General features: G+C 39.5%; 1 annotated feature.

Moving 5' to 3' along the window:
- Positions 16065-16265: a silencer, noted in NCBI's record as "peak4759 fragment used in MPRA reporter construct". NCBI's record gives its function as "represses an SCP1 promoter by STARR-seq MPRAs in K562 erythroleukemia cells {active_cell/tissue: K562}" and the evidence as "EXISTENCE:reporter gene assay evidence [ECO:0000049][PMID:32103011]".

The following is a 17584-nucleotide window of genomic DNA, read 5'->3' on the forward strand; positions in this document are numbered from 1 at the left end:
AACAATGAGAACACATGGACACAGGAAGGGGAACATCACACACCAGGGCCTGTCGTGGGGTGGGGGGAGGGGGGAGGGATAGCATTAGGAGATATACCTAATGTAAAAGTTAATGGGTGCAGCACACCAACATGGCACATGTATACATATGTAACAAACCTGCACGTTGTGCACATGTACCCTAGAACTTAAAGTATAATAAAATAAATAAAATCAATACATAAAATTAAAAAAATAAAAGTACTTCTCCACTTTAAACACTACTCAATTATCTATTGGCATAAAGATTGCCCGCCCTCTACTCCACACCACAACAAATAAATCCCATGATAACATACCCAAGAAGCAGAATTCAGGATCCCTTCTCTTCATTTGGAGTCTTCTGGAGTTGAACAGCTCTTGAGTAGGGGGCACTTTTTTGCTGTAATAAATTTGTCTTTGTGACAAACTGAAGCCACTGGCCTCCAGGTGGAGCTGCATGAAAGAAAGAGAGAAGTGAAAAGAGGGAAAAATAGGTTGGTGTTCCAGAGAAGTAGATAGCCTGAGAAAGACTCAATAAAACCAAGATGGTACATGGTCCTCAGGGGATTTTCTAGGAAAAGAAGTGACATGCAAACTGATTCAGCCAGTTTAATTCCACAAGAATTTGAAGAGACTGCCAATGTGCTCAGCCAGCCCCAGTGTCTGATGCAAGAAAAATGAGACATGGTCCCCAGGAAGCTGGCAGTCTTTGGGAGTGGCAGCACATAGGCATGGAAGAAGAACATCAGGAGACCATGTGTAATTCAATGGTAAAACGGTCATGCAGCTTAGGACATGGTTTCAGAGGTGAGAGAAAAGCTATTTTGTGTGTGTGTGTGTGTGTGTGTGTGTGTGTGTGTGCGCGCGCTACTACGTTCCAGGCACTAAATTTGATGGGTTACATAAATTATCTCATTTAATTAATCCTAAAAACAAACCTTTGACATGAGCCCATTTTAATGGCAAGGAAATGGAAGCAAAAAGATTAAATAACCTGCCCAGGAGCCAACAGCAAGCGAGCTGTAGGATTAAAAGTTAAACCTGTCTGAATTCAACACCTATGGTCTTGAAAGGCCTGAGCCATTTGCTAGCCATATAACTAAACCCTCCTGACTCTTCTGTGCCTGTTTTTTTAATGGGACAAATGGATATCATATTGCTGTATTTGAATTGTTTGGGGGTAATCCTTTGCTTCTGCCCTCTTCTTCAGCAATATGACCTTCACTTTGGCCCTGATAATTGGACACCTCTTGCTTTAACCATGTGATCCTGCCTCCAAATGGAGGCTGCTGAGACCAAGGTAGGCACTTGACTCAAGGGAGGTGTGGTGGAAGGAGAGAACCATGGCAACTTTGTCTGTCCTGAAGCCTGATGGTTCAGTCAGCTTTTCCTAGATTCTGTGAGACTACGCTATAACTGTACAGTCATCTCCCCAACCCCTATTCTTCTGTTTTCTTGAGCTGAATTGAGCTTCTGTTACCACAACCAACAGATCCCTGACTAGAACAAATACTTTCCATGGAGTTATTGTGAGGAATCCATGAGATAAGGTAAATTAGAAAGGACAAGATCAAGGAGACCATAGCTATTTATCTTAGTGAGTAAAATAGCAATTTGGCCTTTATAATTGGATCCCAAGATTTTCAGTTTATGAAATGTTTCATTACGTCAAAAGCAGGATATGCGCAATTTTCATTTTTACTTTTCCTGCCAGGAGAAATCAAAGTGGCTGATAGTCATGTTAAACTAAAGACGCAGCCCCAAGGTTCTCTGTATTTTGGACAGAGAGGCCCCAGGCTGGTCATCTGGTAACCACTTTAAATTGGGTTTCCACTGGAGCCACACTGTACCCTGAGGACTCTTCCATAGGAGATGTAGATATCCTGACTGAATGATGGACTGCCTGACTGGCTGGCCAGCCATACTGCAATCTTCACCTGTGTGAAGGTTCTGAGAGAAGTGCGCCACTCAGATCCAACAAGCTGTTTGACCAAGGACACTTCTTATTTGATTTGGTTCAATTGCATCGACTGCCCGTGTCACTGAAAATGATCAAAGCAATTGCATATAGACACAGCCTGAGAATACAAAGCTGCTTCTTTAAAACAAAAAAGCAAACAAACTTCACACTGGACATTTTAAGACTGGGTTATTTAGTATCATGGACGCTTTGCCTTTGGGATGTTGATTTAGTAGGTTTGAAAAGATGGCCAGAGACAGCATACTTTTTGCTGGCATCTGATTTGTCACATGGTTCATGTTGCTTTATTTATCATGGACCACAGGGTGCCAAGGCTTTCTTTGCTTCTTGATAATTTCAGTACTTCTCAGGTTAAAGTGGAGCCTTTGGATCTGGCTCTCCTCCCTAACCCCTTCCTTATGCACCGCACATTCTCTTACTTTCTCTGGGGATCACACGGCTTCTTGCATTCTCCAACTGCAGTCAGGCAGCAGAGGAAGCAACATTTTTGTTAGTGAGTTTTTCCCCCGTGGCTGCTTTATTACTTAGACCATGTAAATCTCAGTTGGAGGGTGGCCTTTGTGTGAACCTCATTCTGAATCTCAATTGACTCGTGCAAAGACAGTCCGTATATTTTCCTGCTACTTTTTCACTACTTTCATCTTTCTCAGCTTTTGCGTATTAGGATCAGTTATGGTTTTTTTTTAAATAAAGTATCTTTTGTTGACAGTATTAGAGCTTCCCACTCCAAGACACTGCAGGTTAGGGCTTGCTTCCTGCAGGAGAATTTTGGAAGAGGTTCATGGGAAAGGATCAGATGCCATATAGATACTGTGATGCCTTTAATCCATATGATTTTTTGGGAGAGAATGCTGAATCATGATGGGTGTTTGGTGTCCTTTAATTACCAAAGTTATCAGGAAAAGAAAGTGTACCACAATCTCATACTGATGGATTACATTGCAGGCACTGGAAAGAAATCTTTTTCTAGAACAGCCTTTGTCATGGTGGAGGTGGGGGTAGGGGGCTGGCACTTCCCATTTGCCCATTCTGTGTACTAGAATCTTAGCGGCAAAGGTCAGGTAGGGTTTAGCCAAGTCCGATATCTATCTACAATTATATCTGGATTCGTTAACCTAGGACTTGATGAATTTAACAATAAATGTCCATTAAACCTGTATATGATAAATACATCAAGTATAAAACAATGGCAAACATTTTTCAAGTACTTACCACATGCCAGGCAAGAATTCTATCTCATCTTTTCCTCTAAGCAACTCTACGAGGTCATAATAACAGCTAAGATTTATTCAGCTCTCACTCTGTGCCAGGAACTATTCCAACTGCCATGCATGCCCTTATTTACTTATTTCATTCTCCCAGTAATACTGTGGGTTATTTAGTATCATGTGGTATGGGCACGAGTTTTCAACCCATTTTATAAATAAGGAAACTGAAGTACACGCAGAGAGGTTAGGGAACTTGCCCCAGGTTGTAAAGCTGACAATGAGTGAAGCTGGGATTCACACCCAGCTGTCTGATTTCGAATCCCATGTGATAAATGATAACCATCCCTCAAAAAATACATGGTGAATGTGGACTAGTGAAAAGCTCCAGTTTCTTCTGTGACTAAAGGAGTCATTGCTGCTTATAAATGAGCAGGACTTGTCCACTATCAGATTCTGCTGGTCCTTGTGGCTCCTCCGCTGTTTTGGTGATGGGCAGCCAGTGCTAGAATGGTGGCAGCTCTTTGTGGAACTTTGATGCTATCTGGAGCTTATTCTCCATCTCTGCTATTTCTTAGATTTTGCTTTAAATACATTCTTTGTCTGTTGATTTCTATAGAGATTGGCTCCCGCCAATACTTTCTGCAAAATAACCTGCCTCTAATTGCCCAGAAATGCCTCTCTCTGGGTTTGTTTACATGGCACTGTGACTCTGTCTGCTCAGAACTGTGCCCTCCATGCCCTGTCTGTGTTTCTCTCCTCTATTAGCATTCTCTGCCATATTAAGGCTGTGAAGAGAGCCACATTTCCCTGCCTTTGCTAAAAAGAAACGTTAATATTGGGATTTCAGCTAAAAAGTGAATATTCCATTGGATACCTCTATGATACAATTAAAGAGATTTAACCCCAGTAATAATACCTCCAGAGTGTTCTGGTTTGTTTTAAGCATTTTATACCCACTATCAAGTTGGTTACATAAGACAGAGTTAAGACAGAGTAGGAAAGAGGAATGAGCATGGGCTTTGAAGTCAAGCAAGTCTGGGTGTACAACCCAGTTCCAGCACACACTGACTGTGTGGCCTTACGCACTGGACCTCTCTGAGCTTTATTCTTCCAGAAAACAGAGATAATAACTTATAGAACTTTCTGAGGCTCACAAATGATGCAGATGTGATATTCCTGGTATAGACTAGGTCTCCAAAAGTTTTTCTTTCCTTTCATCAAATTTCCTGTTCTGCCAATGTTTGGCTTTTACATTTGACGTCTCTGGAACTCATTTTCCTAATTTTCAAAATGAGGTGTGAAGATCATTCGATTGTCAGGACCTCTTCTAGGTCAAAGTGTTTCCTACATCAACCTTTGTAAATGTGCGAAGTGCTTTCCTTACATTATCTCATTTGATCCTCTGAACAACCCTTTAGGTTAAGTTCTGTTATGATTCATATTTTACAGAGGAAACAGACTCAGAGAATGAGTAACTGGCTACTCCCTGATCTAATTTCCCACCTCTCACACGTCGTGGGTTTAGAAACCACCTAAACAAACTCGTTAGAACTATGCCTCAAATAAGAGTAGGTATGCACTGAGGAGGGCTTGAGCCGCTCTAGCTCTTGGAGAAGCATGAGGGCTTGGAGACTGTGACAATTCAGTTTCATCAGAGAGAAGGAAAAGCCATTCAAAATAATTCGAAGCCCATCAAATGTTTATACTAATTTGCACACGTAAATACATAAATGTTTGTGTTTGCTACACCCACATTGTGCTTAAATGTTCTGTTCCTTAGATTTACCAATTTCCACTGCAAATTCAAATACAAGTTGTAGCAACATTCAACTTTCCTACGTAAATTGCCTAAAACACCAGGGAATCCTGGTGATTCTACTGCCATACCTCTCAGGAACCCACAATCGTCGTTACTATTATCTGTTGATAGAAAGCTGATACCCATTTTTCTGGGCTTTGTAACCTTTTTTCTTCTGCAGATATGTTGGGTTATAGTTTAACAATATCACAGATGCACTCAGGTGCTTAAGTGAATCTCATGCTATAGTTTCCTTAACTTATTAAATAAAAAGTCATCCATCAGCAGTGTTTCAGATCCAATTGAATTTTATTTCACTTTAAAACCTCAATAAACACTAGGAAATTGTGCTGTAAGACTCTGAGTGACAGCCAACACCTTTCATCGAATAAATTCTACTACTTTCCAAACATGAATTAAACCGTACCACGTTGTAGCCTAGACATAGGCTAAATTTTTTCTTTTCTTCTTCTTCTTTTTTTTTTTTTTAATCAATACAAGCAAGTAGGTGACAGATGCACAAGGCAGGGGAAAATGAAAACTTTGGAAAGAAACAGATTTGAGTTCTCAAGTACCAAGGGCATCTACTCTCCCTTAATAAAATGATATTGCCAGTTCCTGATCACATTCAGCTGCTCATATTCTTACGTAGAGAGCTGTTGATCAAATCTTCCTTTGTAAAAGTTATATTCTCTTGGCGCAGAAACATTTGCTTCTTGGTTTTATTGCAATCAGATGTGGTAAGGTTGTGGCCTGCAGGGAAACTTTCACAGTTTCCAAGATGACAAAAAAGTTGGAAACTCTCCTGGGGTCAGACCTTGTATACAACAAGGTCAGCTGGGAACAGAATTCTAAGCCAGGCTGAGTCCCTTGGAAATAGCAGGATCTGTGGAATCAGAGTTAGAGAGCTAAGGCCTGGCTCAGAGCTTTGAGTTGCACCTGAAGGTTGTGCAAGGAACCATGTCATGCCAGGACCCTATTAATTTCAGAGGGATGGTACCATGTTTGAGAGGCCAAAGAAGAGACCTAGAGCCAGCAAACAAGATACAGGGTTTATGGAGGGGACTTAGATACAGGGCAACTGAGTGGCAGTGGGCCGGACAGAATCACAACCACTTGTAAAAAACATGCAGCTTATTTTCACTTAACATCCTTCCCCTAGCAGCCTTTGCTGGCAAATTTTAACCCAGAACAAAGGGCCTCAATCCCCTGCACGCCCTGTGTTCCATGGGGTGGGCTGAGGGTTCAGATGTTCCTCATTGATGAGGAATGAATCTCTGGGTTGGCCACTCCCAGATTCCTTAGCTGAGAACTCCGAACACATATTCTTCTTAAGCCATAGGGTCACTCTCAGAGTATGCTTAAGTTATCGCTGTTGGGTGCATCTGCCATATAAACCAAGAGGAACCTGGCACAGATAGGGGATGGGATACAGGCAAACATGGGCTTTCCCAGCCCCTCCCATGATTGCTTACTTCTCCAACCCTCCTCCAGAAAGAGAGCAAAATTGCTAAGCTTCAAACTGCAGAGTTCTTTCCCCCAAAGTCCTCTGACTCACCCAAGCTGCAGCAACCTTAATGCAGAAGTTGGCTGCCAGTTTGCTAGAACTTTTGACTAGCCTTGAGTCTGGTTTTATCGTTCCAATCCTCATTTCTCTACACACACCAAATCATGCCTCTTGGTGTCTTACAGTTTCCATGCATATTGGACTCAGTATTTTGAAAATGTCTTCCCCACCAATTATTATTTTTTGCATGGAGCCTAATACTACCATATAAATTAGTTGCTGCAATTGTTGTTATTATTATTATAGATGTCCTTGAAACTACAGTAGTTTATCAGCCATCTTAAAGAATTAGGCACCATATACAACAATAATAAAAATACCCTTCATTTTAAAGACACTTTTACAACCATTATCATCTCATGTCTTGGATTCATTTCTTTATTTGCTCATTTATTCACTCATTCAAGAAAGAGACTTCATGGTCTCACTGAGGATAAAATGATTATAAAATATGCTTCCTGGTTTCAAGGAGCTGACAGTGCAGAGGGGAGAGAGTAGGCATGTAAACAGATGTTGAGAAGACAAGCACTGTGCTACACTCGATCCTCACATTGTTTTATTTACCCACAAGAAAAAAAAAAAAAAGACCAAAAAAGACCTTCTCAAGGTCACACAGCTTGATGAATAAAAGCTAAAATGCAGACCTCTTGTTATTAAGCCAATAGATTTTGGCCAGTTCTGTTATTATGTTTCCTTTGGAGCAGAAGCTCTCAAAAGTGTGGTCCAAAGACCCGTTGTCAATACCTGGGAACCTCCTGGGAACTTGTTAGAAATGCAAATTCTCAGAGTCTACCTCAGACCTGCTGGATCAGAAATGATGAGGGTGGGCCCAGCAACCTGTGGTTTAACAAGCCCTCCAGGGGATTCTGAGACTCACTAAAGTTTGATAAACCATCACTTGGGGAACTTGTTAAAATGCAGATTTTCATTCAGTAGGTCTGGGGAAGGTTTTCTGAGTCTACATTTCTAACAAGCTCCCTGGCTAGGCTTGTGCTTCCAGGCCTTGGGTCCTTGCATAGTAGCAAGAATATAGAGGGAATTCACACCAACAGAGACCACTGGTTAAGCCCAGCTAATGAGTAATGCTGGGATGTCAAGTGAATTCAATAAAATTGTTCCCTGTCATTTAAGAGCTTAAATGCTAACACAGATAATGCTCATATAGGTAAATTTTTAAGGACACAAAAACTATCAAATAACTCCTGATTATATGTGTATGTCTGTGTGTGTGTGTGTGTGTGCGCATATGCATGAGCATGTACAGGCATGCATACACACAAACAGAATGGGCAAATATTGAAAGAGACAAATTGTATAGCTGTACCTCTCTGATTAAGAGATCACTTGAATATACAAGTACTACAACCAAACACAATCCAGAACCAGGAGCCCAGAAACATTTCTGTGATGGAGCAGTCAAAATAAATGTTACCAAGTCCATCATTTTTACTAATAAATTAGTCCTTCAAATCATTCTTTAGAGTCATTTTTTATTTTAGACAAAATTCTAACATAGGCATATTAAAAACAGATTAGCAGCAGTAAATTGTATAGACAAAGGTCAAGATGTTGTTGACAGGCATTCTGACAGTAAAGCAGTGCCAGCTGGCAAGAAGAGAAAGTGTGTGTGTGTGTGTGTGTGTGTGTGTGTGTACACATGCTTATATGCATACTGATATATTCATTTATATATTCCAAAAACTGTGTGGATTGGAAAAATGTAATACAGGGGAAACACATCAGTAAGTATCAATAAAGAGCATTGTATAGGAAGCACAAGGTAGTAATCACAGCAACATGCAGAAAATATAAAAACTATAAAATGTTCAAGGTAACGATAAAGCATGGAAAACATTTTAGATGTTTCCAAACAAAATGGGGTTCCTAGATTTAGCAAATGAAAATGTTTTATCTGGCAACCCTAAAAATGGTTAAAAATCAGAGGGCTTTGATAATCTCCAGGAATTTCATTTACATGGATTACCAGTGTCTCGGACAACGCCTGCCAAACATTCATGTAAGGGAAGGTGATGGAGTGGTTTTGATGGTTAATTTGATGTCAAACTGGACTATAGGGGGCCCAGATATTTGGCCAAAGATTATTCTGGGTATGTTTGTGTATTAGTCCATTCTCATGGACTGGGAAGACCTCAGAAACTTGCAATCATGGCAGAAGGGGAAGAGGCACGTCTTACATGGTGGCAGGTGATAAAGAGAGAGAGCACGCAACAGCGGGGTGCACTGCCTTATAAAACCGTCAGATCTTGGGAGAACTCATTATCATGAGAACAGTACAGGGAAAGACGCCCTCATGATCCAATCACCTCCCACCTTGTCCCTCCCTTGACACTTGGGGACTGTGGGGATTACAATTCGAGATGAGATTTGGATGGGAAAACAGAGCCAACCATAGCAGTTTGTGTGGGTGTTTCTAATTGAGATTAATATTTGAATTGGAAGACTGAGTAAAGCAGATGTCCTCTAATGTGAGTGGGCCTCATCCAATCAACTGAAGACCTGAATAGGCCAAAATGTTGAGTAAGAGGAAACTCCCCCTACCTGTATGAGCTGGGACATCAGTCTTTTCCTTTTTTTTTGGGCTGGGACTGCTGCATCCCCTGGACTGGTTCTCAGGCCTTCAGACTTGGACTGGCTACATCACTGGCTCTCCTAGGTCTACAGCTTTCTGAATGCAGATCTTAAGACTTCTAAGCTTCCATAATTGCATGAGTCAATTCCTTAAAAATATGTATTTTTTAAACAACATAAAATTAAAAATGTTCATATATATATTTTTTTCTATTTCTCTGGAGAATCCTGACTAATATAGGTGGAGAGTGAAATAGGAGTTATTGGAGTTGTATGTTTGGACAGGGAAAATCCCAGACAAATTTACTATGAGCCTCTCAATTGATTATGAAGGGTGTATCAGTCAGGATTGTTTATAGCTGCAAGCAACAAAACCCAAAAAAGAGTGGCTTAAATGGAAAGGAGTTTACTAGTCCCATGTCACAGAAGATTAGAGTTAGGCAGTCTAAGACTAGTGGGGTGAATCTGCAATGTCATCAAAAGTCCAAATTCCTTTAATCTTACAATTTAATTATCCTTAGTTTACAGTTCTTAACATTGCAAAATGGCTGCTATACTTCCAAATGCTAAGTCCAGGTCCCAGACAAGAAGATGGAAAAAGGTAAAGACCAAGATTAAAGGGCAAAAGAGCATGCCAGATGAATTGTTCTTTAAAAAAAAAAAAGTTTTTGTAAATTCTGCCCAGTAAATCTCATTTTCATCACTTTGGCCAAAACTGGGTCATATGGTCATTGCTGGGGGTCTGGAAAATTATTTTAAATTGGACACTTGTACCTTGAATAAATTAGTAAGAAAAAGGGGGTGAATGAATGAATATTGAATGGGCAATTATCAGCATGTCTTAAGGTATTCATGGAGGAGGTGGCATTTCAACAGAGAGAGAGGGATGAGAGAAAAACAGAAAGAATGAGTGGATCATTGAGCAATCCCAAAGAGACTTGGAAGCATGAATGAAGAGATTATACTAGATTGGATGTTTGTGGAAACCATTCTATGGCCTTAAGGAGGGCTAGATTTGCCCAATTCAAATTAAAACTCCATTTTGAGATCTGGAACATTCCATTTTGCCTGGTTCCCTGTACTGCAGACTCTTTTGGAGAACAAGCTTAGTGCTCAGTGACAAGTATTACACATTTATCTGACACTTACTTATTGGTAGACCATGTTGCTTCTCAATCTAGTTTGAGAAAGGTGGTAGCCAATTGAAAATCTATTACAGGGGTGACCCTTATGATATGACATTACTTTAGCCACTATAATGCCTGATGATCAGCCAGTATCTCCCATCACCCCCAGATGGGACTGTCTAGTTGCAAGAGAACAAGCTCAGGGCTCCCACTGATTCTACATTATGGTGAGTTGTATAATTACTTCATTATATATTACAATGTAATAATAATAGAAATTAAGTGCACAATAAATGTAATGCACCTGGATCATCCTGAAACCATCCCCCCAACCCCAGTCCATGGAAAAATTGTCTTTCATAAAACCGGACCCGATGATGCCAAAAATGTGGGGGACCACTGCCTTAAAGGATGAGTAAGACTTCACCAACTGAAGCAGCAGGCATTGAGTACCTCAGGACCCTGCATCATCAGAGAACTTTTAAATTGTCTTGAAAAGACATATATGGCTGCATCAGAGAGATTGACTCACCTGTTTTATAAAGAAAATTTTTAAAGAAAAAAAGTAGATGAAATAAGAAGTTTTCTTGAATGCTGCCTTGGTGTTCTGCTTTAATCTGGATTCAATTATCCAGAAAACATCAGCCCTTCAAGTCTTTTGAAATAATTGACCTTTCATCTGCATCCTAAAGCATTTTTCTTGTCATGGTGTATTTTGTGAACCTTTTCTTCCTTTTCTTTTCCCTGCAGATATTCTGAGTTGCCCAATTTTGTTCATTTTTTTTTCCATAGGTAAAAAGGTGGTAGTCTCTTATTTTACCTCCATCTTAGCAACAGGGTTTGGAATTATTCTTCTCTGTCTTAATATTTGTATGTTGGGGGAAAAAAGCTAAAAGAAATGATGAACAAAATCGAGAAAAGAGGTTAAGAACATGTCGCTCCAGACTCTGGGAGCAGTCAAATCAAGCTGCCAGCTGCAACAAGAATCTCTCTAATAAGGAAATTAGAGCATGATCATTTCTGGCTATGTGACTCTGATTCTAAATAGGTTTTACAAATAGATTGTGATTGAACTTGGAAACATAAACAAATTGGCTTTGCAGAATAAAGGCTGAACTACATTTTCGTTAGAGAATTAAAATGCTTTTATGGGAGGCACTCTGGGAGAACGGACAGCTATTTTAATGACAGCATATGCATTTCTGAAACACGCTGGCTTTGTTGACTTCCCTTTGGAGAGTTGGGTTTGATAAGCTCAAAAGAAAGTTTCCCAAAAGGGTCCCTAAGAGGACAACTGATAAAGGCAGGGGATGGGGTACTGTATGTTTGAAATTCCCCATTCAATGGCTGGGAGGAGAGGTGCCATTTAAAAATAATAGGTTTAAAAATATCCAAAGCTTAAAAAATTCAGTCAGCTGTCTTCCTTGGACAATTCTTTTGTCTCTTGGAGGGTTGGGGATAGAAGTTCTTTAAGCTCTTCTGACACATTTTTACTTATAAATATTCATGCAGTGTTCCAGTGCCTCTCCCACTGATTCTGTGCAGCCTCCCCACCCTAGCAAGAGAGTCAGTGCCTAATTTCTCCTAAGGCCCCGGTTCAGCCCCAGCCAAGCCAGAGCCATTTGAAAACACAGAAGACTTTTCAGTGAAGATAAAAGGTTATACATGTCTGTGTGTCCAAGCTCGTATTCCACATGAGAGGATTAGTCTCACTCTCTGCAAACTCTCCCAGTTGTTATAAGTAGTCATGGTTTTGTGTGTTTTGTGCTTCACACAGTGAGAAAACAGATCTGCCAATTGGAAAGATGCTCTTTTTAATTTTCCTTTTGCTAAATCCACTGGTTACTTGCTAAGGCCTCATCCATTATTGAGTCCAAGTCAGCAGAATCTCTTTGCCAGTAATAGGTTCGTACATTTAGAAACATAAAATGTGAGACCTAGCAGGGACTACAAAGGTCATTGACCTGTTGGGTAGGAATTTGGATATGGGTCATGTGGAGTATATTCCATTATCTCAAAATGCTCACATAATGGAATCTTTTCCTGTGTGCTAACCCTACATCCTTGTGTGCTGTTTTCCCCACATCCTAGGTATGTGGGCGGGAAGTGCATGAAGTCTAGAGCTCCATATACACACTCTCCCTTCTTATTTGGATGTGGGTGTAATGGTTAATTTATATGTCTACTTGACTGGGTTAAGGGATGCCCAGATAGCTAATAAAATGTTATTTCTGGGTGTGTCTGTGGGGGCCGGGGTTGGCACTGTGGCCGGCGGGGGCGGGGAGTCTGGAAGAGATTGGCATTTAAATCAGTAGACTATTCAGTCTCTGAATAGTGAACAGGCCTCATCAATGTGAACAGGCATCATCCAATTAACTGAAAGACTGAATAGAACAAAAAGGTAGAGGAAGGGTAAATTCAGTCTCTCTCCTCTTGAGCTAGGTCATCTGTCTTCTCCTGCCCATGGATGTTGGAGCTTCAGACTCCAGGACTTACACCAGTGCCCACTCCTCCTCAGCCTCCTGACTGAATCACACCACCGACTTTCCTGTTTCTTCAGCTTGCAGATGGCATATCGTGGGACTTCTCAGCCTCCACAATCATGTGAGCCAATTCCCATAATAAACTCTCCTCTTATGTATCTATGCACTGTATATTCTATTGGTTCTGTGTCTCTGGAGATCCCTAACTAAGACAGTGAGGTCTCTCACATCCCCAGGGCCTAATTTCCCCCATGAAGTGCTTTCTGGGCCCAGGCAAATGAGGATGCACAGCTTATTTCTACACTTAGGGCTATGGCTTCATTAAAAAAAAAAAAAAAGCTTCTTAAATTGTATAGGGCAACCAAATATTTTGCTAAAAGATGCTTACATTGAAAACCTATGAAGTCTTATGTTTTTATTTCAGAGATACTTTATTTTCATTAATGATTCAGCCTTAAATGGGTATTTAGCTCTAACAGTTCAGTCCCCTGCTGATACTTTTTCTGTCAAGCATATAGAAATTTATAAATGAATTACCAAGCGAACTCCTTATTTAAAAGGAACACTTAAATTAATTCACTGTGAAAATAAAATTTCTGCTCTCCTTAACTCACCCACTCAACATAAACAGTTTATTTTCTTTATAGCATGTTTTATTAAACAACAAAACACAGAGAACTGGGCATCCTGTGACCTAGATTCTAGACACAGTTCTTCCATAAATAGGTGAATTTGGACAAGTCATACATAAAAGGATGGATTAATGCCAAGTACATTGCAGGGTGAGCTTCTCAAACTTTACCGTGTGTACTCGTCAGAACTCCCCAGAGAAACTGAAGCAATAGGAAGTGTATTGGAACCTTCCTCAAATCCAAAGTGAACTAGTAGACTTTTTCACAGAACCTGAGACAGAGTGAGAGAGAGAGAGAAAGAATGAGAGAGAGAGAGAGAGAGATTTATTTTAGGGAATTGAAATTTATTTTATGAAATTTTAAGGAATTGGAGTGTCATGTAATTGTGGGGATAGGCAAGTCTGAAATCTGTAGGGTAGACTGCAGATCCAGGGAAGAGTTGCAGTTAGAATCCAAAGGGAAGGTCAGTCTTTTTTCTATTAAGGCCTTTAACTGACTGGATGAGGCCCACCCACATTATGGAGGGCAATCTATTTTGCTCAAGGTCCAACTGATTTAAATGTTGATCTTATTTGAAGAATTTCTTCATAGAAAATTCTAGAATAATGTTTGAACAAATATCCCGGTACTGTAGCTTAGCCAAACTGACACATTAAATTACCCATCCACCATGCCGAAGAAGCACCTGGGGAGCTGATTTCTGGGCTCCATCCTCAAGACTCAGATTCTATTTTTCAATTCTAAGGAACTCCCCAGTGATGCTGAGGCAGCGCTTCCAGGAGTTATTCTCTGAGAAGCATGGTTTTGGTCTGCTATTGTATGATCAAGAGCTAGGCTGTTCTACAGGTGAGGAAACTGAAGCCCAGAGTTAAGAAGGGGCTTGTCCACGGGAGCTTGGATAGTTGCAAATTATGACCCAAGTCTTCAAATCTTAGTTGGGCTCTTTCCACTTAACACACTGCCTGCCATGTAGTGCAAATGAACTTCCTTAAAATACAGCCTTGTAATTGAACCTCCCTCAAATCCAAAGTGAACTAGTGAAACTTTCCACAGAACTTGACAACCTGGTCCTAACATTCATGTGTAAGAGAAAACGGCCAGGAATAATCAAGGAAATTTAGAAGAAGAATAAGGAGGGAAGACTCATACTACCACATCTGCAGGTGTGTTATAAAGCTACAGAAAATATAACAGTATGCTATTGACAAATAGACCATTGGAGTAGAATTGAGACTCCATTGTCAAAACATAAATATTTGGGGAGTCCATGGCAGAGGTAGCATTATGAGAAAAAGTTAAGCTATCAATAAATACTGCTAAAAAGTGGCTATTCATGTGAGAAAAAAATAGACTTCCTACCCATACTACACTTAAAAATAAATTCCAGATGGATCCATGTAGAAGCAAAATTTTAAAACTTTTAATAGAAAATTTAAGAAAAATGTTTTTATATCAGGGAAGATAAGTGTTTCTTAAATGAGACATAAAAAGTACAAACCATAAAGTAAAATAATAATAAGCCAATATTTATTAAGCTATTCTATGTACTATACAATATTCTGAATATATAATCTAACTAACTCTTGTAATTCTCATGAAAACCTATGAAGCAGTTATTATTATAATCTTCATAAAAGACAGAGGCCTAGAGAGACTATTATCTTCCATATCTTGTGTGGTAAGTGGTAGAGGTGTCAGTTGAACCCAGGCATTCTGGCTCTATACTACCTCTCAAGATAGAAACATTGATTACATTCAAGTTAAAATAATACATATTAAATGAACTAATTAAAAGTACAACCCAAATACAAGGAGAAAATCTTTTCAATGCATGCAACCATCAAAAGAATATATATATATATATATTTGCAAATCACTATGAAACAATCCAATAGGAAAACGGGCACAGATTATGAAAAGCCAACTCGTCAAAAAGGCACATAGCCAAAATTACATGAAAATATGCATGTTAGTAAACAGATAAATCAGTATAATCACTTTGGAGGGCAATTTGGCAATATCTACTAAAGTAGAAGATATACATTCCCTATAATCTAGGAAACCCTTTGTGTATATAAAGGTAGTGTTGGCAGAGTTGCTATAGCAAAACACTGAAGGAAATAACTCAGTAAAGAAATGGTTCAATAAATTGTGAGATAATTACATTTTGGAATGCATCTAATACATCTAGATGTGTCTGAACAGATAAAGTTCAAAAAGAAATGTTGAGTGAAAAACAGGTAATTTGAACAGGATGTATACCGCATGACAGCACTTGGACAGATCCCAAAATCTCATAAAATCTTACTATCTATTGTTATGGGCACATAACATTGCCATGCATAGATCAGCTTCAGAATAATGGTAATTCTTGGGAGATAGGGGAGTAGGGAGGTGTCGTGCCAAACCCCTATCAACCTCAGTAGGGATGGCACCAGATTCAAGAGGCTGAAGAAGAGACTGGGAGCCAGCAAACAAGACATGGGGTTTTACTGGAGGCTTACATACAAAACATGGGGTTTTACTGGAGGCTTACATACAAAACATGGGGTTTTATTGGAGGCTTACATACAAAACATGGGGTTTTACTGGAGGCTTACATACAAAACATGGGGTTTTACTGGAGGCTTACATACAAAACATGGGGTTTTATTGGAGGCTTACATACTGTCAAGTGGTGGTGGGCTGGACAGGAAAACCACAACCACTTGCAAACAGCATGCAGCTGATACGGCATCTTCACTTAATACCCTCCCCCTAACGACCTTTATCTGGCAACCTTCATTTAACCCAAAACTCAGGGCCTCAATTCCCTAACAGCCCGTGTTCCATGGGACAGGCAGGGGGCTCAGATGTTCCTCATAGACAAGGAATGAATCTCTGGGCTGGTCACTCCTGGATTCTCTAACTCAGAGCACACATTCAGGTGCATCTGCCAGATAGGGTCATTCTAAGGGTACGCTTAAATTAATGCTATTAGATGTGTTTACAGGAGGAAATAGACAGGAAGAGAGGTTTAGCTTTATCTTATTTTCTTTATTTATGAAAAAAAAAAAAGAAAAAGAAAACCTTAAGGAGACATGGCAAAATGTTAAGATGTGTTAAATCTGGGTAGTGGGTACCTGAGTGTTTTTTTTTTTAATTTTGTATATATTTGTAATTGTTCATAATTACATGTTTTTGAAGAAATAAAAATATGATCACCACTTTCATTATTTTTAATACACTATTGTAGTTCTTTTTCCTGGTGATTAAAATGCATGGGCTTTCTCCTTTCTGCATATTATTTTTTTTAGGTATCCTTTCTACACATTTTTTATAAAATCCTAGAATAGGAAGGAGATGTAGAGAACATTTGTTCAAATCTACTGCTTGACAAAGGCACTTCTGAATTCAAGTTGGTGTTCCAGGTAAAAACCCTTGCTAGAATTTTCCTTTATGCTTAATAATCTGGAAGATATGGTTTTGGTTAACTATTTTGTTTCAACTAAGTCAATGTCCATGGATAATGAGTTTTTTTTTTAATGCAGACCATAATCAATTACACCTAACATTGATACTATGCTGAAAACACAGTTTTATCTGTAATGACACAGTGACTGCGAAGAATCTCAGTGTTATCATCATAGTCTTCAGTTATTATTTTGGTTATATGTGAAAGCACCAATTGAAAGAGAACTGATTGGCAAAATGTCAGATAACCTGGAGTAAGGAGAATACAGGAAGAGGTGAGAATTACCCTTTATTGAGGTATTGTAGGTGTGAAAGTTGTCAGAATCAGAATGGAGTCAGTCATGTTAAAAAACCAACACACAAACAAAAAACCCTAACATATATAGCTGGAGAAGGCTATGAAGAGAGGGTTCTCATGCTCGTATGCCCAAAAATAAAACCACCACAAAAGACTCTGCAAAAACCACAACTTTGTGCAAAAGCCACCATAACCTTACACAAAAAATACTTCTGCAAGGACATCTGCCCAGCAACTGCCTGTCAACCTCAGACAGGCGCCACCTTGTTATTGATTTTTGTAGCCAAGGATAATTGCCTCAAAACAATTCTGTAATAGTCCTCCTCATTTCTTCTTTAAAAACCCTTGTCTCCCTTTACTTCCCTTAATACGCATATAATTTACTATGGCACGTGTATTCCCATTGCAATACTCGATTCCCAAATAA

The sequence above is a fragment of the Homo sapiens genome, chromosome 3 (assembly GCF_000001405.40).
Source record: "Homo sapiens chromosome 3, GRCh38.p14 Primary Assembly".
NCBI classification, from domain to species: Eukaryota; Metazoa; Chordata; class Mammalia; order Primates; family Hominidae; genus Homo; species Homo sapiens.